Source organism: Homo sapiens, chromosome 2 (assembly GCF_000001405.40).
Source record: "Homo sapiens chromosome 2, GRCh38.p14 Primary Assembly".
NCBI classification, from domain to species: domain Eukaryota; kingdom Metazoa; phylum Chordata; class Mammalia; order Primates; family Hominidae; genus Homo; species Homo sapiens.
The window spans coordinates 165,161,819-165,187,113 of NC_000002.12; the positions used below are offsets into that span (position 1 = coordinate 165,161,819).

At 35.2% G+C, this 25,295-nt stretch overlaps 1 protein-coding gene across 12 annotated transcripts in view; it reads right to left on the reverse strand.

Annotated features, from left to right (window-relative positions):
• Positions 1–25,295, reverse strand: part of SCN3A (sodium voltage-gated channel alpha subunit 3) — a 116,525-nt gene that overhangs the window by 74,293 nt on the left and 16,937 nt on the right. For 8 of the 12 annotated variants that reach the window (NM_001081676.2, XM_017004662.3, XM_017004661.3 and 5 more), the window contains exons 2-9: positions 24,733–24,929; positions 14,313–14,626; positions 8,612–8,730; positions 6,918–7,007; positions 2,574–2,702; positions 1,800–1,891; positions 738–1,010; positions 490–553 (exon numbers count right to left, since the gene is read on the reverse strand). In NM_001081676.2, coding sequence (NP_001075145.1) covers positions 490–553; positions 738–1,010; positions 1,800–1,891; positions 2,574–2,702; positions 6,918–7,007; positions 8,612–8,730; positions 14,313–14,576 — 1,031 coding nt within the window. In that variant the 5' untranslated portion in view covers positions 14,577–14,626; positions 24,733–24,929. Of the gene's footprint in view, positions 1–489; positions 554–737; positions 1,011–1,799; positions 1,892–1,983; positions 2,076–2,573; positions 2,703–6,917; positions 7,008–8,611; positions 8,731–14,312; positions 14,627–17,733; positions 17,874–24,732; positions 24,930–25,295 lie in introns of all 12 variants that reach the window. The other 4 variants (NM_001081677.2, XM_047445394.1, XM_017004660.3 and 1 more) reach the window with 2 other exon arrangements.

Sequence of the window (25,295 nt, forward strand, 5' to 3'; positions counted from 1 at the left end):
TCTTTGTATACAGAAATACATGCTCCTTCAAGAATACTTAAATATTTCAAAGCACTTCCCCAAGTGTGCTTCCACCCTGAAGACCACATTATAGTCTGGGTCTTTTCCAGTCACGACAAAACTCATCCCATTGATACATATGTACACCAATAAAAAGGGGCCCATCTTGTGTTCCTGTGTTTCCTAACAGCTCTGATAGATGTACAGCAAAGACAGACTCTGGGCCTTCACACATTGGAGCATCAATTTAAGAACATCTTAACTGTGAAATTTTGGGGAAAGGTCTTCACAAAGGGATAATTTTTAATTGCTGTGAGTTTAGGACCAGTGGCAATCCGGTAAGGCAGACAAGGCACTTCCTAGGGGAGCAGCACTGCTCTTTATTGCATACATGGTAAGGCTACACATATAACCATGTAGTTGTTTTCCTACCTACTTTTTTTTTTCGCAAAGAGTTCTATATCTTAAAAAATATATTATGTTTCTTACCCTGCATCTGAGCCATTTCCACAGAGTAAAGGGTCTTTTTGCCCATCCAAAACATAAAAGTGACCTGTTAATACAAAAAAAAACCCATTTTATTTCATATTAATCCTATTCACATTAGTATTAGTAATAAATCAGAGTTGGACTATTTCAGTTATTTACAAAGGTGGCTGTACACCCACAGTCTCAACTATTTATAGTTGAAAATTCATTCAGCAACACTAAGGTTAACATAATGTAATACTTCTTACTGTCATCTCCAATGTAATCCTTCCAGTTAAATGTGCTCATTGTTACATTAACAAATGTCCCATTTGAATCCATTGTGCCATTAAAGTAGGAAGTGGTGTTGGTTTCAAAAGCAGAATCGCTTGGGGGCCACTGCAAACATTTATTCCTCAGATTGCCCATGAACAGCTGCAGCCCAATGAGAGCAAACACGCTCAGACAGAACACAGTCAGGATCATCACATCAGAAAGCTTCTTTACCGACTGGATCAGGGCCCCCACAATGGTCTTTAAACCTGCAGAGAGAGAACTATAGGTTACCTGAGGAAGAGTGCCAGAAATCATGATTTCTTAATAGTCACACACATTCTCTTTCCCCCATAAATGATTGCTTGACTATTTAGACACCAAAGCTGTATGGATAGCCTGATGATTTGGGAAATAGATGAACAGCAGATTTTACACATGAACAGTGTGCTTGCTGGAAATTCAATATGAAGGTTTAAATATCTAGTCAGGAAGTTTTGTTTGTGTGGTTTTACATGCTGAACAAACATACAAAAAAACTTGGAGTTATTTTTCATTTCAGATTTTGTGTTTCATGCAGCCATTTTCCACCAATCCATTCTTTACTCTAGCCTCCAAGCAGTAGTAATTTAGAGGAGAAAAGAATTTTAAAATAATGTAAGTCTCATGTCTCATGCCATATACATGCTCTTCAACAATAATATTTTCTCCTTTGTAAAAGGAGATCCATTTTTGAACTACATCTGCAGCGAATGGTAAAATCCAAATCTGTTAGTAAAGCCATGGTAGTGAAAAAGAGAGAGAGAGAGCGCAAGAGGCCCAAATTAGCATTTTTTGAAGATGTCTCATGCAATTTTCTGTTAAACTCAAAGGCTGACTTTATAAATACGCATGTAATTTATAAAATTTTAGGAGCTAAACTGACATTGAAACATCATTTGGCATTATTTAACGGGATGAACTGTAATAATAAGCAACAAGGCTAATGCTGTAAGTCATATAAATTGATTTCAAACTCAATAATTAAAGTCAACCTCGGTGTTTAACCTAGCTCTCACCTGGAATGACTGAAATTGTTTTCAGTGCTCGGAGAACTCTGAATGTTCTCAACGCTGAGACATTGCCCAGGTCCACAAACTCTGTCACATATCTGTAATAGGGGAGTTCACACACAAACACAATAACACACAAGAAAAGTTGGAGATATAAGGGGCCTACTACCTTACACCAGTTTCTTCTTACCTGGAATTACAGAAATAGTTTTCAGAGCTCTCAAGACTCTGAAAGTTCGAAGGGCTGAAACATTGCCTAGGCTTACAAATTCTGTTACATACCTGCAGAATTAAATCAGAGTTACTGATAGTTTTGGCAAAGTTTATACTAAATAAGGACTTAATGCTGGGTTTGGCACATAGAGCCCTGTGAGTTTAACAAATGGAATTGCTATAGACCTCAGGCTGCCATATGCTAAAGGTTGCTTTTAAGAAACAAAATCGTGTTGCTTTATTTCAATGTAATTTTCACTAATATGAACACATTTGTTTGCAAAACTAATCCAAGTACAGTTGTTGCTATTAAATTGTAGTCAATGAATAACTTCATTTTGATGAAGAGAAAGACTATATGACATGAAGATAACCCCATTTATTGATCATTTACTGGATATATTTACATTGCAATATGTATTCTAATATGTATTCTTAAAATACACAATCCATATAGTTAACTTGACTAACAAGAAAGCTCTACATTTAATATATGACACAAAGACCTTGTTTGTACTATGACTATTTTCACTCCTTTGCGCTTATCAAATTTTCAAAGTTACTCACGCCATCACAATGACACTGAAATCCAGCCAGTTCCATGGATCACGAAGAAACGTAAAATCTTCTAAGCAAAACCCTCTTGCCAAGATTTTTATAAGTGACTCAAAGGTATAGATTCCAGTGAATGTGTACCTAGGAAAAACATCCAAGCCAAAATTAACAATTTTGCTTGAACTGTTAAAATAAATGTTTTCAATCATAGCAAATCCTATCCTTTTGTGGTTTTTCAATTCATTAAAATATTGTTCCTTACTTCTATTTACCAAATAATCTATTCATTTAGTTAGTTTTACAAGCCTGAGCAAAGAGTTAAACTGAAGAGAAAATATATTCTTTAGGAATCTAATCTGGTTTAACTATTTGGGTTTTAGAATAATAGTTTCATGTATCTTATGGATAATCATCTAGTTTGACCTTCTAGCGCAGCAGTATCTGATAGAAATGTAATGGAAGCCACAAATGTAATTTTCAAATTCCTAGTAGCAAGCGAAAAGATGAGAAGAAGCAAGTCAACGTATTTTTTATACTGCATTTTATTTAAACCAATATATCTAAAATATGAAAATTCAACAATTAATATTAGCCAAATTTCAAGGTTCCATAGCCATATGTGGCTAGTGGCTTCCTCATCAGACAGTACAACTTTAGAGGCAACATAGCTTGGATTCATTTACTTAAATAATAAAATATTTTATTCAAATTTCTTAATGAGTAGACTCATTTTGAGGGCTAGTTTACATGTCTACCATAGAAAATATATTTCTTTTTTTTCAATTTTTAAGAATCATGTAGAGTTATAAACTGCCCCCCATTTCTCTCTCTTCTTTCTCTCTCTCTGCCCTCCTTCCTCCCACCCTGAGTGTATGTGTGTGTGTGTGCATGAGCATGCTGTATAGAGATGTGTGTGTGTGTGTATATATTATCATATGAAATGTTCCAGTTCACTAGTATTTTATATGTGTGTGTTTGCACAAATGCCAAAATACACGGATACACAAAATTCTTAAATCAAACCTTGCATCAGCTACTATCTCTATGCAATTGGGCTAAATCATTCAAACCTTGCTTAAATTCAATTTTCAGCCTCCAAAATGGTGGAAGACTTTTCTATTTGCTGTTTAATGTCATGTATTTCTAGCCCTCTTTTCTTTGAGTCTTGACAATATAAGTTATTGCTGTTTTCGTTTTTTTCCCAAAATAGTTGAGAGTACTTGTTTTTCAACATTGTGTTCTTTAAAAGCACAATTTAAGTTTATTTTTCAGAGCACTTCACCCAAGCCACAAAGATTTGATTTACTCATATTAAATTCATTAGATTTTTCAGCCTACCAGTATTTATATATGAAAAATGTTAGGATCATTATTTTGAAATGTTTTCTGCACAAGTTTCTTTCATATGAGGGAACAAAGACATCAAGAATAATTTATGCAGATATCTTCAAGTCTAGTTTTCTTAAGTACATTCCCTTCCTTTTCTCCCCCAACAATTCAATTGATCTCATAAGCAATAATTCCTATCTTTACTTATATGAAGTAGCTGACTATTAGGAAGAGATATATTTTACAATATCAAGCTTATGTTTACTGTGTTGTAGTTTGGATCGTTGTGTGACACACATAATCACCGTGATATTTCTGTCTGTAGAGATAGCTGGCCTTTTAAAGGCCTAGAAACACCACACATGTATGTTCTGTTTCTTGTATTAGTGGTTAGTGCCCTGTGGTTTATGCTGAGGCAATTCTGTCTTATCTATAGAGTTACTAGGAATAAGATTAAAGTCCCTACTTTTGTTCTTGATTTGGGGAAATTAAGAAAATATGTGGGTACATTTGGAATGTATGGGAAGTGTTCATGGCTGTCCATGGAAGAGAGTCCTAGAGCCTACTGAGACAGAGCTCTACACAGAATAGGTATTCAAAAATGGTTATTAGTAACTAGGTTGGGCAGGTAAGTGGGAGTCAGGGGACCTTTATCTTTCGTGGCTATGCCCACACTAGGCTCATAATCAAGCTGTCAATTCTGTCTATGTTCCTGTAACTTTGGTGTTTTAAAACCTTGAAATTTGGCTAATCTTAATTGTTGAATTTTCATATTTTAAGTATATTGGTTTAAATAAAATGCAGTATAAATAAAATTAAATAAAATGCAGTCTATAGAAGTGCCTTGCCTTATATAACATTCCCCTCACTATATAATATGGTTTTGTGTATGCCACATCTTTGTACAGGGACTGTTTCAAATATCGGTGACTTCAGTTTTCATCTCAGAACTAAGTTATCTTCTGTTTCACTGAACCCAGGGTTTGGGGTAGTAACCACTACTACTTTGCTTTTTTCCTGCTGGCTTGCTTTCAAGCTACTGAAGACAATTGATCAGAAAACCTGAGCAAAGTTTTCCAGCTGAATGATGCAAATCAAAAACTTTCTAAAGCTAAGACTGCCTTCATAATGGGTATAATCATCTCTAAGTTATTACTGCTTCTTTAGAAAGAGAGGCCTGTATATTCAATTGCCTTTTTTTTTTGTTTTGAAACAGAGTTTCGCTCTGTCGTCCAGGCTGGAATGCAGTGGTGGGATCTTGGCTCACTGCAACCTCCACCTCCTGGGTTCAAGCGATTCTCTTGTCTCAGCCTCCTGAGTAGCTGGGACTACAGGTGCTTGCCACCACACCTGGCTCATTGTTTGTATTTTTAGTAGAGATGGGGTTTCACCATGTTGGCCAGGCTGGTCACAAACTCCAACTGCCTTCTTTAACTATCTTTTAATAATGTTATACAAATAAATGAAATTGATACATGTTTAAATGCTTCAATAATTTCTGCTGGGAAAACCACATACAGAGTAGTCTTACATAGGAGTGTCCATTTTGTTAACTCCAAAATCATGTATAGTAAATGAGAGTTCTAAGTTAAATGGCTTTCCTCAATATGGGAGCTGGATTCTCTATTACAATAATTTCTAGGCAGCATTTTGAAGCTACTATTTTTTTTTAAATAACATGTTAAATAACTGACAAATAATGGCTTAGAGTGGTACAGTAAATCCTCAGAGAAATCTATAAAAACGGAACTAAAAGTGGCAGTATTTGTTACACTATCTTATCTCCGATTGTACATTACTTTTAAAAATATAACAATAAAAAGAGCATACTGCATTTTTTACTTAACCAGTCAGATACCTGATTATTGTATTATACTATATATAAGTAGCCTATATAACCACTTTGTTTCACTAAAAACTATGTTTCTTTGATGCAAATAACCTCATATGTGACTGAAAAATAAGAAAATGAAATAATGTTGTTACGATAAAGAAATTGTGTTAGTTCATGCACAGTTTTCCCCAGCATATTGATGTTTTGAAACAATGAAGGGCATTTTTTCTCACACTTAAATGGAAAATCCCTTGCAATAATAATAATAAAAAGATCTTGATACTAATACACAACATCCACAGAAGTGTTTTCTTTTAGTGCAACAAGGGCCTGGTTTAACATCCTGAACAACTAATGTGCTTAGACCTTTCTCCATGTATTAAAATACAGAATGAAGCATTTTATTTTGATGAAATCATACAAATATCCCCAGTCTCCATTTCAAGGGAGAAAGGATGAGGCCTGGGATATGAGGCCACAAAGAACTCAATGGCTATGATTTTAGGTACAAACATTAGAAAAGAATCAACTGGGCAAGTGTCTTTTTATTGGGATTATTATGGTTTCTATGTTGTATTCTAGTTACAAAGTTCCATAAGTTTTACTCTCCCCCAATCATGTTTCCCCTAAGCCCTGTTATTTTATGAACACAGTTTTATGGAAGACATTTTATTTCTTTTACAGAACACATCTAAGCTGTTTCAGCACACATGTTGTGTATAAAAAACTTACATATCTAAATATAACTTAGACATCTTAGATGTATAATTAAGACATCTACTTAATTTAGAGCTAAAAACCTAAATCTATTCTATTCGAATATAACAATAATCACTATATACTGGAATAAAATAATTTAATTCATCAAATTACTGAACTGATCACTGTATTTTATCTCAAATGATTAACCATGATTGAGACCTAATTTTAGGCTAGGTGATTGGTTTAGTTTACCAGAAAGCATATACTAATTTATAACCTCTCTTTAACAGATATTGTCATGATTTTGTTGGAAAAATACTTACCTCGTAGAAGAATAGCTCCCCCAAAGAACTTCCCTTATCTTCTTTCATATTATGAAAATAACTTTTTCTTAGACAGAAGTGGAAACCATAAGTCAGGCTATACCCACAAGGAGATTGCTAGAGAATTTGAGTGTGCATTTCTCATTCCCAGAAGTTATTCCTACTTACTCTACATTCTTTGTCCAGTCAGGAGGGTTGCTCAAGGTCATAAATACACAGTTGGTCAAAATAGTGCACATGATAAGCATGCTGAATAAAGTAGATTATAGTTAAGGAATAAATGTTAGTAGGTTACCATGGCCATTTATAAATGATCCAAAACACACAAAAAAGTTTATCGATGCAAAAACTGTGAAATTAATATTATTTGTTTTAAAACAATGATAAAATAATAAGAAACTTCAAAGCCTGTGATATGGCCTTGGTGCACTCTTTTTTTCATTTTATACCATATACTCACAAAACTGAATTTAATAGAAAAATGATCTCTATTTGAAGCAAATGCAAGTTATTTTGCATTCCAATCAGTTGTGTGAAATTGCCCTGGAAGAAGAACTCACCATCCCTTAGTAAGTTTATAGTATGCCATAAGTGTAAAAGGTGTACTTCAGATATATTCATCCTCACTGACTTATAAAACGTTAACGAATGCAATGTAAAAAGTGTGAGAATGTAGAGCCCAGTATAATCAAAGATTACATTGATTGAGAATTCTATCATAAATAGTAGGTTTGTAGTGATGTAACTTACTCCTTTACAATTTATAGCATAAAAGAGGGAGATCCAATTTTGTGCTGATAAGGTAATGTTATTTTCTAGCTTTTTATTTACACTTTAGATTGTGGCGGACCCCAACAGACCATCTGGCTATACTCTTGTATCTAGTCCACATTATACCTAAACAGATAGCACTATTCTGATGCTCTTCTGAGAATTAGCTGTAGTACGTTCTCTTGGGATCTAAGTCCAGACTTCCCTGTAAGAAAGTTTATGATTATTTTGAGATAAATATTTTATTTTAGAATATAAATACTTTCCAACATCAAGCCATAGAATGAGAGAATTCATACCTCAAAAGGTTATCAGTTTCATTTGCCCTGTCTCTAGGTGAATCAGTCTTTAAGTTTATATAGAAGCCTGCTTTGAATCTGCCTATACAAAATTCCCATTCTTGAACACTGCCTCAGAAAATCACCATTCTATTTTATCATTACTTGAGAATTTTCTTGAAATCCAAACATATTCTGCCCTTTTACATATGCTTTTTGACTAACATTGTAAATAATTTCAAGTTCGACTTTTTGATACATATTCTCAACCAGGTACATGAGCACATAGTAAGAGTCTGATAAATATTTACTGAAAAAAAGAAGGGAATAAGACGGAAGGGAAAAGGGAAGAATGAAGGAAGGGAAGAAGACAGGAAGGACAGAAAGAAGGAAGGAAGGACACAAAGAAGGATAAATCCAGGCGCTGAAGATACAGAAACAATTAAGGCGTAAAAGTTTGAACACTTGGTAATGCAAATAGTAATACTAACCATAATCTAATCTTTAGCAATGGTTATATATGACCTCATTGAAGCTGATAAAGGTGTAAGGAGATTTGCTCTTTTTCCTACTATGTGTTTCCTTTGCACATTCACTATCATGGTTGGTTACATATTTTCTTCTATAATGCTGTAGTCATTCTATAATACTCTCATTATAAATAGTGGAAAACCAATGCAAATAAATGAATTAAACTAACAATGTTACCATTAATCTCAAAGAAATTTTACAGATACTTGAAAATATAACTGACATTTTCTTTAAAATCAACTGTTAGAAATAGCATTTAGGCAATTCACATTAAAAGGATATGAATGTACCAAAATCTTGATAGCAATTTTCCTAACAGGGTTTAGTGGAGTTAAAATATACAAGGCAGAGGTGGCACTGAATCGGAAAATTGCCTTTCCTTTATTCATTACTATAAAAGTCTGAAAAAGAAAATACGAGTAAAATTACTAAATTAGACATGGGCTTATTTAAAGAGCTTACATACATGAAGAACTTTTTAAAAAATAGAATTTGTTTGTTCAAACTTGTTTGTTTAAACCAGTTGATATATCATAACTACAAACATGTTAGATGTTTAAATTAACATATAGTTACAAATAAAGATACTATTTACTATTACCTAATCTATCTCTAAGGTTCCAACTTGCTGATACAAACTGACAATTCTACACAAATTTTTTTATGGAATTGTAGCGTTACAGATTCCAACTCTATTTAAAGCTTACCATCTGTCTTCAGCTTTGGTAACTTTTCAGATTACTCTGTACACATTGCTACTAAAATAATCTTTTATAAGTATTTTAATCATATCAAATCTTTTAACTTCAAAGTTTATGATGGCTTCTGATTGTCCCTGTAGATTTAAAATGTTCAAACAGGTTGAATAATCTGGTTTTGCTGACTATAGATGTGTGAGAAGGGTTCAACTTCTCAGCTAATACTGAAGAGAGATGGATGCATTGAAATTTAGTCTGAAATACACCATTTCAAAGGGCATTCCACAATTAAAATTCTATGATCTGAAAGCTACAATCATCCACTTAGTATTAGCTATGCTACAAGTGATTATTTACCATGTTCCTATAGAATCATCTTTTATTTTTTTCCCACTAGAGTCATCTTTGCTATGGCCAATTCAATTCAGTTGTCAGCCTCACTCACAACTAGTCAAACTCTCCCTATGACTCTGAATATGAATGTCATAGACTCCTAGAAGAAGGTGGCAACTGAAAGGTCATTTAATGCAAACTCCCTTCATTTCAGGGAAATGTCTCCACAACACATTACAATATAGTTCCACCTACAGTGACCCCCTATTATGTCAGAGGTTCTTAATCCTGCCTGAATATTAGGCTGTCCTGTAAAGATTTTAAAATTGCCAATTGAATGAAAATTTCTGAGGGATGGGCACAGATTTGGGTATTTTTAAAACTTTCCTGAGGCGATTCCAATATGCAATCAAGGTTGAAAATCCCTTCTGTCTGGGAATTTTCTCAGCTATCAATCACCTCCTTAATCATGTCCTTCCAAATAAATCACACTACCTCCTGATCACTCCCTAATTGTTTCTCTTTACCAGTAAGTCTTAGTACATTAATTTGTACTCTTTTACATGTTGCTTGTAATTATAGTCAAGTAGCAATTTACACAGTGTTCATTCCAGTGAGAACTAGGTTAGAAATTGTTATAAACCATTGAGCATAAAGAGCTTGTAATCTACTTTTTCTCCATTTTTTTCACAGTATTTAATAGCCTGGTTTGCAAATAAACACTTGTTTTAATTAAATGTGGGTTTACCTTAAAGATACTATTTACCTTTAAGACATCTATTCTGTATATCCATTTACTTAATAATATGTTTCTCTCCTTTAACTAGGGGCTATATGCCATACATTTATGTTCACTGACAACATGCTTTGTTTGAGTAGGTAGACAAAAATATTTATATTGTCAGTATAAAGGGCAGGGAAAACAATTTCTCTGTTCATTGCTCTTTTGTATTTAAGACCATGGTGCCAACCATTACTTAACTAACCATTTTCCAGAAACTGAACAGTTTTTCTGTTCATTATCCCTTTGTGTTTAAGACCATCAAGCCAACCATTATTTAACTAACCATTTTTCAGAAACTACACAGTTTCTCTGTTCATTGCCTTTTTGTATTTAAGACCATAGAGCCAACCATTACTTAACTAACAATTTTCCAGAAACTGCACACTATAAATGTGAATAGTTTTATGAAGCGGGCAAGCAAACTATTCTTTACTAGCAGTAGGACTGTGTGTAAAGGACAGTGGACCTTGGAAAGACTGTTGTTGAAGCACAGAAGCATTAAAGGGTTGCCTTGGAGTCACAAGATTAGATTATTTAATATTACAGTTGAACAGTCAAGATCCATTTAGGCATTCAGCAACACAACAGCATAACTTGAAAAAGCTCACCGTAATTTAAGGTTCAGGTACTCATGCTCTTTTGAAACAATTTCCCTGAAAAAGCAATTTCTGCTTGCGACATTAGGAGAGAGTTTCATTTTGAACTATCTCCAAAAACAGAGTGAACAGCAATAAATTATCCCTTTGAACATGGAACCCTTTGCTCCTCCTGCAAGATTAGCCTTCGTAGTACTAGCGGAATTACAGCTGACATGCTAAGAGCATCTTCGTTGAATTTATAGGTTCTAAAACAGAGCAGGCCTTAAGACTACAATCCCAGTTTATGTCTCAGGAACAATACCTGACACAAAGAGAACCCTGAGTTCTGAGAAATGCAGAATAAAATACTAATGTCCTGCATAGTGAAAGAATTGCAAGAATTTGAAATTATGGGGCTCTGATGATATGAAGAGATATACCTAAACTGAAAATTACTTGAGAAAATGACAGATGAATAGGGGAGAGATAGATCGTCATTGCTACAGCTGGAAGTATGTTAAACCAGCTATTTTGTACTCTGGAATGTTACTTGCTTCTTTTTCCTAGAATGTTACTTAGATGCACATCTTATAAGTTTACTAAAAGTTTTACTACTTTGTGGCAAGAATAAGATTTACATCTCAATGATTAGGACCACATCAATCAGAGAACTCAAAAAATGATGCAGCCAATTTTTTAACTTTCCCTTTTATTTTATTATGTTAATAAGCATAGTATATAATTTCACTTAGTGGTTAAGAGCTCTGGCTCTGGAGTCGAATGCCTGGACTCAGATCCTGGATTCACCACTTAAGGAGTGTGGCCTTGAGCAAGTTACCTCATCTCTCTGTGCTTCACTTCCCCATTTACAAACTGAGCTAACAATAGGACCTGCCTCACTGGTTCACTATATAGTAAATGAGTTCAAGAACTTAGCAGTGCTTGACACAGTATGAGCACAAGAAAAGTTAGTTATGATTATCACTGTCACTATTATTAATAGCACCCTGGTCAAATTAAATGCCATTAAAATACATTGTGATATTACTCATTTAATTAAATTAGGTATTCAAAATGTATCACTAATTAATGATGGTAAAGAGTTACATAATGCTTTAAAGCTTTTAAATGCCTTTTACTTGTATTTTTCCATATAATTAACACAGCTTCATAACATATTTTTAAATTCTAAAACTTCCTCCATTAGCTTCTTACTTTACTCCTTCTATGCTAAGAATGACAAATTACCTCCTTGTTTAATAGCACCTCAATCTTCATCTTTATGGATACTTCATAAACGAAAGCAGTGCAGCCAACCGTAAAGACTATCTAGATGTCTCGCAAGATGGTTCACAGCCACTATGAATAAATCAGGGTCTAAGTCTGGCTCTCAGCCATGGAGGCAATAAAAATTGACTTTGTCAAAAACAGAGGACAATTCTGTTTTTTAGTGGCAGACTCACATTAACCAAACTTGAAAACCTGATATATAAAATAAGAATGCCAACCTATTTATTTATTTAGACAGGACCTCGATCTGTCACCTAGGCTAGAGTGCAGTAGCACAATCATAGCTCACTGCAGCCTCAAACTCCTGACCTCAAGCAATCCTCCTGCCTTGGCCTCTCGAAGCCCTAGGATTACAGGTGTGGGCCATCATGCCTGGCCTCCAGTGTATTTATTTACAATGAGATACATTACTTTCATATGGACTGAGATAATTGTAGTGATGTAATGAGCACGTTCTTTTCTTCAAGCAGGTTTAGGGGAAAACAAATTGTAGTCAGAAGGTTTCTTGCTGAATATGGAGCCCAAGCCAGCTGACCTAATCAAATGATGTGGAATGTTTAATAGCATGTGTTAGGTAGTTCAGTGTAGCCCCTCCACAATGAGGTGGCCTGGCCATTGGGAAGAAAATGCTTTCAGTGCTACTACTAAAGTTCTGTCTCCCTTGGAAAATAGTAACGTTTGCCTCTGTTGTTCTCCTTTTGTTTCCCCCTTAATCTTACCAGCCTGATTGATTCTCTTTTTTAAGGACACTTCCTTTCTTTAAGTAGCAAATACTTTTAATCATAGCAGAGTAAATCATGCCTCCTTTCTTAAAGATATCTTTACAAACATATCCTTCAGAGCAACAGTTTTCACCGGATAATATTTTGTCCAATTTCTTGGGGGGTGACTTATTGTAATCATCATAACTACATTTCAAATTTTTCTTTATCAATTCTATAGTAAATTGTTGAAATAAGTTATTTTTAGAAGTACATGAATGTATTAAATGTCACCTTTTATGAAACTAGCTATAAAAGGGGAAAAAGGAGACTCTGTTTAGCTATTTACATGTAGTCTTATGACTTTAAATAAAACATTAAAGCTTGCTATTCAAAGTGTGGCCATGTAACAGCCTGATGATTTGTAAGAAATTCAGGATCTCTGGCCCTAGCCCAGACCTATGGATTCAGAATCTGCAAATTAAAACATCTTGAGGTAATCTGTATGGATGTGCAAGTTTGAGAAGTACTTATTTAGAACAACAGGACTAATTCCATGTCTGAATGGTTGTCATTGCCTTTAGCCATCATTGATTTTATAAATTATAAACTTTTAAAAGGATGTGCTTTGACTAATAAAGGTGTTTAATATCTTCCATAATCTATAAGTCATCAACTCATGGTGATACTAATTTATCTTTAGTTTCTACATTGAGCTATTTTTACGCTTTTAAGTGTAAAATATAAATCGTGGTTATAAAATGCCTTAATATCCAATTAGAAAGCATAGAGTATACCACCTATTTTTTATATTTTCTATAAAATATCACCCAGCTAGTTTAACTATAGAAACCAGCTAATTCTGATACAATTATGCATTTATTTTAGCATTAGGAAAGCACAGTCATAACCACTAATTTAAATCATGTATGGATGGAGAAAATTTGAAAGTTCTTTCTTTTTGGTCTTCCAATTTTGACATTTTTTTCTTCAGGGTGATGTTTTAATGGTATACATGATCCAGAATCTAGCATGCCACAAACTATATAAGGTTAAGAGAAGATCCTAATCATATTCTAGGTTACTGGGGGGGAAAGGAATCTCTGGGTGAACATGCTTCTTCATGTATTGTCTGGCTACAGGAGGATGCTAAGCAGATTATTTATTGTCCTCTAGAATATAAATTATTGTGAAGGTACATCAAGTCAGTCATGAACTAAAAAATAATTAAGTACAACATATGCTCATAATTCTTTTCTGCACAGGTATTATTCTGTAGTCTACCCTGTGCTTGAATATGTCAGCCATAACAGATATTTCACTTTGTTGATATTAATTTTAATTTTGACTATCTGAATTATCACTGTGAAATTGTAGAAATCATTCATCTATTCATATTTCCTGACTGTAACCAACTCTTGACTTCATTTCTTATAAATGTTTGTTTTATTATATTGTGATAAAAATAAGTGACAGTGAAGAGTATTATAAAATCTTTAACAGAAGAAAAATTGTGATGCTGTATATAAGGCCCAGAAAAGTATATTACAGTTAAGAGTTTCATTAAAGATTTATTAGAAGTCTAAAATCAATACTCACTTTCTTATTGATATAGTAGGGATCCAGGTCCTCCAGGGGCTCTGACACCATCTCTGGAGGAATGTCTCCATAAATAAATGGAAGGTTCTTTCCAGCTTCCAAGTCACTATTTGGCTTTGGTTTGTTCTCATCATCATTATCTTGTTCCTTTTTGGGCTTCTTGGCTTTCTCTTCTGCAGCACGTTTTTCGATAGCAGCAAGAGATTCTCTAGTAAAAAGGCGGAAGCTTTCAGGTCCTGGGGGTACCAACAGTGCCTGTGCCATCTTTTCATCCTGCACATTTAATTACGTGTAGCTTCTTGCATACGAATTACCTGCAATAAAAGAAAAATTGCACAAGAGTTAGGAAAGCAAGCGATTGGGCATAAGAACATCAACCAAAATGTCATTTTTTAGTAACTTTTTAAAGCTATAAACATTAAGTCATGCTTTTAGTACTGCACTACACATTTGAACTTGAAAACATCATCATTCAACCTCATTCTCAATAAGCCAAGTTCATAAATCTATCAAAAGTCTGTACTTAATGTTAATTAGTTTGATTTAGCCATTCTACAATGTACAGTATATATAATATATAAACATTATATTTTACCTCAAGAATATCTATAATTTTGTCCATTTTTTAAAAGCATTTAAAAAAATTCTGTTTTGACACTGTAAGCCAAAATATAGTATACTTTCAGCAAAAGAGTAATGCCAGTAAAGTTTGTCAATAAAATTGCTTAATTATTCTGCATCCTGCCCCCCGCCTTTTCATAACTTTGTAACTCCCCAAATAAAGAAGTACTGGTAACAATACAATTATTGTAATACATCCCTGACTCATACAAATGAGGATAGAAAATGAAGTTTTGCCAAACCCAACCACTGTTCTCGTTGTCAGCATCATTGACAACTGCTGCTCCAGAAAAGATCTGATCACCAACCAGCAGGGACATGGAAGCCACTGCTGCCAGAAAAATCTACCTATCTTTAGTATTTCCTTTCTTTTATTAAGCCAGACTCTGTTTCCTTCTGAGGCAATGGAGAATATGTTTACTCCTTATTTCAATATGCTGCCCTTCAATTATTCCAAGACAATTTTGACGTTTTCCCTGAATCTTCCATTTAGTATAGTGGTTAAAAGCATGGACTCAGGTGCTACACTGTCCGTTCTAAACCCTGGCTCTGCCGCTTATGAGCTGTGTGATTGTGGACAAAGTAACCCCTTATTGCTTGAATTCATCTATAAAATGAGGGTAGTAGGGAAACTGACTTCCTGGGTTATCATAAGGAATAAATGAGTTGATTATGTTGTGTCTAGAATAGTTTTTGGAATTAGTAAGCACTATATTATTGTAAACTATCATAATTAAATTATCTTCAGTTTCCCTAGCTATTTTCCCTCTTTTATGGTTTCAGGCATCCTCACAATTCAAACCACTCTTTAAACAAGTTCTTGCTGTGCTGGAACCACAATTGTGACTACGGAATTAAAGGAATGAACTGAGAAGTGCAGTGTATAGAGGCACACTCACACATGCCGATCACCTGGATGAGAAAGAAGGGAAGGCAGACTGATGGAGTGGCCCTGCTCAATTTCTCAGGGAAGGGAACAAAAATCTATTTGCAGGATACATAATAGAACTATCAAAACCACAAGAAATCAGCTATGTAAATTTCGAAATATGAGTTATTTTATTTTGCATTATGCCAAAAATCACATTTAAAAAATCAAGATAGATAGAATATAGAAACAATGACAAACCAAATAAAATAAGTACATCAGTCATCTTATAAAAGAACCTACCACTATGGCACCAAAGTCATGATCAAAGTCATCTGTGACATTTTCCCCATTCCTACCATTCCCCTTTGCCCCCACATGTATTCTAGGCTCCGTAGTAGTTTATCCCTAAATGGCCCTCTGATTCTTGGCAGCTCACTACATATATTTGAGCTTACAATCAGAAGCTCTGGATCTATTAATAACATAAGAAAAACAATATAGCTTATTATGTGTGTGGGGGTTTTTTTGCTTATATCTTAATTACTAGTTCCCTGATCTATTCCAATGACAAAAAAGTGTTTCTATAACATTACTTATTATATTATAATATTATTATTTTTTTGAGACAGGGTCTCACTCTGTCACCCAGGCTGGAGTGCAGTGGCACAATCACGGCTCACTGCAGCCTTGAACTCCCGGGCTCAGGTGATCCTCCCACCTCAGCCTCCTGAGTAGCTAGGACTACAAGTGCCCTCCACCATGCCTGGATCATTTTTGTATCTTTGTAGAGATGAGGTTTCAGTCGCCATTTTGCCCAGGCTGATCTCAAACGCTTGGGCTCAAGCCATCCGCCCGCCTCGGCCTCCCAAAGTGCTAGGATTACAGCGGTGAGCCAATGCACTGGGCCCAAAAAGTGTTTTTAACGTAAGATATGTCTTTTCTTTGAGTTAGTATTTATGATATAACATTGTCATTATATCTTTTGCTACTATGAAGGTATATTCTATATAAGTTATAAAATAAAATAGCAGGCCTGTCAAAAGTTATGTTATTTTTCTCTACTAATTTTGAACAGAACTTCTGTTTTATAGTTGGGCAGCACATTTTTTTTTCTCCATCAGGTTGTATAGTACATGAATCGAAAGGTTTGAGAAAAATTCTGTTTTACTCAAAAGTCAGTTGATCATTTATTTTGTGTTTTCTAAATTTACGGGAGGCAGCACAAAATAAAACTAATGTTTTTAGCCATCTTATGTCAATTTTGATGATCACATCATCAATCCAACTCTAAGCTGTGTGGAATAATCACAGCTTTTATGCTTTTGAGTGCAGAAAGAGTTTGAGCATTTTCTGCAAGCCGTAAGTACCTAAAGATGTGTAATCCATCTGTCTGATATCACCTGCCATGAACTGAATGGCTGTGGCTCTTCTCCAGTGCTGAATGAAAATGAAACAGCATGACAAACATGTCTTAAGGAAATTCTATGAAACACGGTCGCTTTCTTAGAGGAGAAAAAAAAAAAGGTTGATTTGAGGATTTGGTTTTGAACTAATTTTGATGTCTTTATTGACAATGAATGAAAAACACACTGCAATTGAAATGGGAGATCTGGGTTAGTATTGAGTCTGCTGCTAATGGTATGCCTGTATCATCTAACCTGTCTCAGCCTCAGTATCATTGAGGCACCTCAACACAGAAATGGCTGCCCTTTTCCAGATGGGAATAGCTAATTTATATTAATACATACATTTTACTTAATTGGATTCTCCTGGTTGGTTTTTGTTTTAGAAATAACATTAGGTTTAAAATATCTAATGTGGAAATCACCGAGTAATTTTCACAAATTATTCTGATTTATCTGAGATGATATGGAACAAGGTGCCATCACAAAATCATGAAAAACTTTTTACAAATAAATAGTCCTTTACCTTCTTATTTACTTATCAAGGGCTGGAATAAAGAATTTGAATCTTGGTCAAAAGAAAGTAAAAACGTCTCGTTGAAATTCCCATACTGTTGTCTCTAAGTCCTCGGAAGATAGGCTAGTTCCAGACTCTCAGCTTTTCCCCTGCAAGAGAATTAGGGTTTGCCCAATATTTGGGTAGGCTGAGAAATTAAAGAATTTAGTGAGTAGAGTTTCTCATGGCTTCAATGACAATTTTGCTGTTTGGAAATCCCTCATAGTTCTTTCGCAGTTCTCTTTTACTTTTTTCCTCTCCTTTCTTGTACTCTGTGAGCTTATTATACAGAGTTCTTACATAATTTTATATTCACATTAGAGCAGACTTTAAAAATTAATTCTTACTGATGCCTTGGTGTGGAATATATATATTATTAATGATTATATGCACATTATAATTTATTAAAATACATAAAATTTAATATATCAAATTTTCTACAGAGCTATCTTTGCAAGGACAAAAAAGATACGAAAAAAATCTTAGGAGATGATCTCTTTAACTAAAAACCAAAAAGCCTGTGGATGAATGTGTGTAGGTAAAGCAAATACATCCCTTTGTTAACTAGTAAAAAGATTATGGTTCAGTATATCATATTTGAGGAATAAACTGCGGAACTCCAAATCTGGAAAGGATCTCGAAATCATTTATTTGGAAAATATTTATGGAGGGATTCTACGAATCAGTACTCTGTTTGAACCAGGAACCCATGGTCACTTCCCTGGGGCTGAGAGTCCAATGTGGGAGGCAGATTTTTATACAGATAATTATAACACAGTTATATATGGCTGGTTATTGTCTGAAGTTCATAAAAAGTATCAATATGTTCATCCCAGGGAAGGGAGAGAGAGGTATGGTTTGGAGAAATTTCCCTGAGGAAGTGATATTGGAGTAGGTTTTGTAGGCTAGTTGGAATTTGATTGGGGTCTTATGGTGGTAGTGGTTGGGAAAGGATTGGTAGGAAGACACATCAGTAGAGACACATTGAGCAGGTGGGGTGGGGGTGGCATGTGTGCAGATGCAGAGACAAGAAAGAGCATGGAGAGTTTGGGAGCAATGACAAGCAATTCATTATGGGTGGACATCACCCTGCACAGAAGGGAGTGGTATGACATAAAACTCTAAAGTTAGGCAGGATAGATCACTGAGGACCCTGTACTACACACGAAAGTATGCCATGGATGGGGAGTGTTATGATCAATGTGAAGATTGGAAAGATGGTGGCAGTATGAAGCGTGGACAGGCAGGGAGTGATCCTAGAGCAGTAGTTTTCAAATGTTGTGGTTTCAGGATTTCTTTACACTCTTAAAATCATTCATGAACCCAAAGAACTTTTGTTTATCGGGGGACTTAGCTATCCATACTTACCATATTAAAAATTAAAATGAAAAAATGTAAAAATTCTTATTAACTAATAATAAGCACTTGTATGTTTATACAGACAATAGATGGTTAATGAAAACAACTATATTATTCAAAACAGAAAAAAATTTAATGAGAAGAATTTGTTTCACATTTAGTCAAATATCTTCATGTCACTTAAGAGAATACATTTAGATTTTCATAAATGCTTCTGTGTTCAGTCTGATAGAATATGTTGTTTTATTGAAATATATGAAGAGAATTTTCACGCATATGTGTGGCTGGAAAAGGGAGTGTTTTAATTGCCTTTCCAGGTAACTGTGAATATCCTTCTTTAATATCACGTCAAAACTCTACAAATGGTAGTTTATTAAATTAGTTGTGTGAAATCAAAAGCCATATCAATGAACTTTTGATTTATCTTGTCCTTTGAATAAGTCTTTTACCTAATCATGCACTAATTATTTGGAAAATGGCACATTGTTATGAAGGTCTTCCAGATTTTGACAAATTTTATTATATAATATCCAAAAATCGCATTTGTTACTATCACCACTAATGTCATGAGAAAAGTTGTAATGTATGGGTAGGCTGTCAAGCTCCCAGTGGCAGGTAAAAGTTTTCCCAAATTCCAATTTCCTCTTGAAAGCTCGAATTTTGACATTGACAACAAATGCTGTCATTTGCTTTTCCTGAAGTGACAGGCTTTCCCTTTGTTCATTTTTGAGAAAATGTGTGCCGAATACTCAAGTCTGAATAACCATAGTTTGTCAGTTATTCTTTCAAGTGAAAGTGGTGTTCCATGAAAAAAAGAAAAGTGGCTTATTCAGCTCCTGACTCAATCACACAAGTGCTTTTCCTAGAGACAACTAGGACACTTCAGTATGCAGTCAAATACTTTATATATTCCTCCTATTTCATCATACAGAATGTTAAAAATATGTATTTTTAGGATTGTGCTTGAATGAAATTAATATGTACTGCTTCATCAGAGATGTATTATGTGAACTGGCATTATTTTTCTTACTGAGAGTGTGCAGCAATGAAGAAAATGCAGACTATGCCTATAGTTTGATGCTACTGCATTGATTCCTGCTAAAGCATTAGCAGTTTTAGCACATGCCTATTGCTTTATCAGTGCAAGTGCCAAAACAGTGAAAAAAGACAAATGCCATTTTGGTATTATTACGAAAGTAGTTTAGAGCTCAAAGCTCCCACACAAAGGGCCCCAGGAATCCCCAGTTGTCTAAAATCTATACTTCGAGAACAACTGCCCTAGAAGAAAGCAGTTAGTCACCACTCAATAGTCAAAAGAAGAGAAGTAAAAGATCTGACTATAGCTCTGGTACCAAAAGGCATGGACTTAGAAATCAGAACTGGATTCAAGGCCTGACTCTGCTGTGTTCCTGAAGCTTTTTTATTCTTTATAATTTCCCTAGCTGTACAATGGAGATAATCATAGTTCATACTTTATAGAGCTAATATAACATTTAAATGAGAAAATGAACCTAAAGGGTGAGCACAGTGCCTGGAATACATTAATAGTAGGCCATCAATAAGTTAGGGAGAAAAACCACAGCCAGAGGAGTGTATTTAATGCACAAGTATAGGAGAGAGAAAAACAATGAGATTTTGTGACTGACTTGATAGGAGATGTGAATTAAAGTTATAGGGTTAAGCTCACTTCCAGGTTTCCAGCTTAAGCCACAAATCGACATTAACCCAAATAGAGAAATGGAGGTTTGTAAGGCATGATAATAAATTCTGTTTGGAACCTGTTCAGTTTGAGATAGCTGTGAGACATCTGGATATAGAATTAAAATATGGATCTGAGACTCAGAAAGCTGTCTGGGCTCGGGTAAAGTTGATTAAGAAGTTACTGGATGAGTCTGGGCATGGTGGCTCATGACTGTAATCCCAGCACTTTGGAGGCTGAGGCAGGAGGATTGCTTGAGCCCAGGAATTCAAGGCTGCAGTGAGCTATGATCTTGCCAGTGCACTCCAGCCTAAGCTGCAAAACAAGACCTTGTCAAAAAAAAAAAAAAAGAAAGAAAAGAGCAGTCACTGGTTGAAGCTGAAGCTAAGAATATTCACGGCATTGCCTAAGGAAAAAAAGTGAAAGGATGATGAGTGAAGAGGCAAGACTCACACAACTACCAATTTTTAAGTAAAGGGAACAGAGAGGATGATAGACAATGAAGTTAGAACAATTACCTAGATGCCAAAGAGGAATTTCCAAGATGCTAATTAAAAGACATACTTGGGATTTAACAATTAGTCCAACTCTCTGCCTGTAAAATAAATGAAGAACAGTCCCAAAGAAGCTAAGTAATCTCCTCTAAAATGTCTACTGACAAACACAAATTATGACCTTTTCTATTATAGTTGACATATTTGTCTTGAATCTTACTATTATATGATTTGCTCTAAAAGATCTAAGCTGTATATAAATAACTACAGAAAAATAGATTTGACTAGTTCATTTCAGTTTTCTAGCCTCACCTATCAGTGTACTATGATGCTAACATAATCTTATGAAAGTACTTGAAGCCAGCCAATACAATGAGTACAAGACTAATATTTGTTAATGAATCAGAATCTAGAAAAATAGCATTGTAAACATTTCGGATATGCTGTGGTGTTACTAAGGAAAAATTTATTTTTTTCCATTAGTCATGGCCTATGGGTTCTCATCTTGCCTAATTTTCCAGAACAGCAGACAGTTTGGCAAATTGTATTGGTCCATAACCTGTAGTATTAGTAGTGTCTCTCTTTCCCTCTCTCTGTCGGGATTTTTATGATTGTGTTGCAGTCAAAATCGATTAGTTCTGGTCTGTTTCCATGGAAACAAGATTGTGTCAGAAGGCTGTAAATTTTTCATCTTTATGGATGGAAAGTTGCTGTATGTCATACAACTTGAGATAGCATTAAAAAAATCTGTAATGTATTTTCACGTCTTTGAGAAGGAGAGTGTGAGTTGCTGTGAAGGACTGGGTCCATTACTGAGGAGGGATGCTGTATTTTCTTGGTATCTACAAGAGACTATTATAGTAAGGGTATAAGGTAAAAGACAAGATTGACCGATGAATTACCTGTTGAAGAAAATTAGTTATTTTTCCCAGTGAAATTTTCACTGAGAGCTAATGATTGTCTGTTATTTACCATATATTCTCAGGCAGCATATGCACCCAACAGCATAAGATTTATCAAAGGCATACATAGAGCACTCAGCACATTATAATGATAACCACTGGACACATTCCAAGGCAGAATTAAATACTATTTTCTATAATTTCAATAGTTTTGAAATAACACCTTAATCAGGGGGCTGTGAAGATTGAATAACAATAAACAAAATTCTATTGAATGATTACTATATCTCAGACACTGTCATGCCATATATGCATGTTAGCCCATTTAATCACTGTTACAATTTCATGAGGTTGATACCATTAATATTTCCACTTTAGAGATCAAGAAGCTTAGGTGCAGGTAGACTAGATAAGACAAGGAGCCAAGATTTAAACCTGTCTAGTTCAGAAAAAAAAAAAAAAAAGAAAAAAAAAAAAAAGCCTAGGTACCTAAGCCTGCAAAATGAGAAGATTCTTGATGTTTGCTGAAACAAAATTAGGATAAATCAGCTACCTTACTGGGAGGTTACTATGTATAAAGCCCTGTGTCAGGAATGAGTGGTATAATCTAAGAAATGTAGCAATATAGTCCTTATCTTTATTTCCACATAGGAGATAAAGCAAACAGGAATGAATTAATAACAAACATAAAACCCACGTCTACTTTCACATGTATGCTACACACTTTGGAGTTATTTGATGATAAATTAAAAACCTAGGCTAGCTTCTTCTATGTCAGGTACCTCTTGCTCTCAGTGTGTTGTCAAGGAAATCAGCATTACTATTAGTCTGAATAAATCTATTGAGAAAGTAACTCTACAGCAAGGGTATCACTACGTTATAGCCAAACACAGATGAAATCTAGACCTTCTTTATGTTATTGTTCCGTTTCTATTAGCTAAACACATGATTGCCAACATGTGTTAACTATTTAACGAGATGATCTATTTCTGTTTTTCTGTACCTGGACTCAATGTCATGGCTCTGAAAAAAAAAAAAAGCTTAGTAAAAAAAGCATGGGTTCATCTCTATCTTCAAGATAATTATCCTGGAACTAATTAATTTTTAGGGGTTGATATTTTCTGTGACTTCGTCCTTATCAGATAGTTATTAGCTTGAAGAGACAACTGCTAACTAGTAACAAAAATTAAGTCAACATTTTAAAGGACAAATCAGCATCACTGGATTTATTATCTCTTTAATGTTTCTATTAAATGCTTGCAAAGTAAACTGTGTGTTTGACCCCCCAGTATTCATTCCATTCCAGATGTTTCCTTCAAGTCCCTTGCCCATCTTTGTTTAAGGACCAGGTATATGATCTAATTCTGGCCAAGGAAAGGTGAGGGGACTTCAGTCAAGTCATTGTCTGTAAAAAGTTTCTTCACTCCCAAGAAAGAGAACAAAGAGAAGATAGCATTCTCTGTCCTCTGGACCCTTTTCTATTGGGATAAAATACATGGCACTACTTCAGCCAAATTAAAACCAGAAGAGATGCCAATCTGAGAGCAAAGCTGACACACTGAGGGTGGCAGGTCACAGAGACATATTTACCCCTGGGCCTTTGATGGATCACTCAGCTTGTGGACCCGAACAACCTCTGCACTGCTTGTTCTGTTCAATAAACATCTTTCTTGACTAAGACAGTTTTAGACAGTTTTTCTAGTTAGTTGCAGATGATACACCAAATAAATAAATAGTCTTTGGTCAGTTCAAAAACTTGACCAATTCAGAAGCCAGCTCACAACCAAGTACTCACCACATATTTGGATGATCTTTACCCCATACAGTCAGGTGAGCCATAGATCCAATTACCAAATAAATATAATAAAATTTAAAGTAAATACAGTCCAGGGTAATTTACTAAATAGACAGGATGAATGTCTCTCTTAAAAGAAAAATATATAAAAAACTCAGTTGCTGGGCGCGATGGCTCACACCTGTAATCCCAGCACTTTGGGAGGCCGAGGCAGGCAGATCACGAGGTCAGGAGATCGAGACCATCCTGGCTAACACGATGAAACCTCGTCTCTACTAAAAATACAAAAAACTAGCCGGGCTTGTGGCAGGCGCCTGTAGTCTCAGCTACTCAGGAGGCTGAGGCAGGAGAATGGCGTGAACCCGGGAGGCAGAGCTTGCGGTGAGCGAAGTTCATGCCACTGCACTCCAGCCTGGGCGACAGAGAGAGACTCTGTCTCAAAACAACAACAACAACAACAAAAAAACAAAAACAAAAAAAAAACTGAGTTAATCTCTCTTTCTTACATCAACAGCCTTTGGCATCATTCCATTCCCTAAGGTCATCTGTGCTATGTCTCCCTGTATGTATTTGCCTCTTTGGAAGAACAAACTGGTAGAGGAAGGAAGAAAACACCCCTCTGCCTTCTTTTGGTCCTGATACAGCTGTCCTTGTTAAATAGTAGAGATTTTAGTTTATTTTCCACAAAAACAAACTTATACCCAGAAGTTGTTTAGTTACCTTAGATAGTCACAGCACCTTTTTCCGGAAAAGCTCCAGGTCCCTTCTGTGAATTATCTCATTTATTCTTACAATATCCCTAGAAGAGATTCTTTGCTCCTTTCCCAGTAAGCCACTCTACTATGAATCCTTGACAGGTATCTCATCCCTGTCAAACCTTGATGTGGCTTGGCTTCAGTTTTCTTGCTCCATAATCTCTGTAGAAAGAGAATACAGGTGAAATTAGCCTATAATCTTTGACATTTGGCATAGGGGTGCTCTGGCTCTGTGTCTGGGTTTTATTCCTTTTTTTTTTATGGCCCTGGATCGAGAAAGCAAGGATGATGCAAAGCAAGATATTTGACCCTTGTTAAAAGCATGCCCTAGCATGATTTAGGAAGAATGGGACCAGGAACCACTGCCAGGATCCTAGGGTTGGGACAGGGGTGCTCCCCCTTCTTTGGCAGCCTTGATCCATTTAGTCTTTCTGAAGGCATGCTGGCACTCCTGAGCATCCTTCTGTTCTTCCCTCTTGCTTCCTTCTCTCCTCTTCCCTCCTTACATCTTCCCCTTTGCTTCTTTTC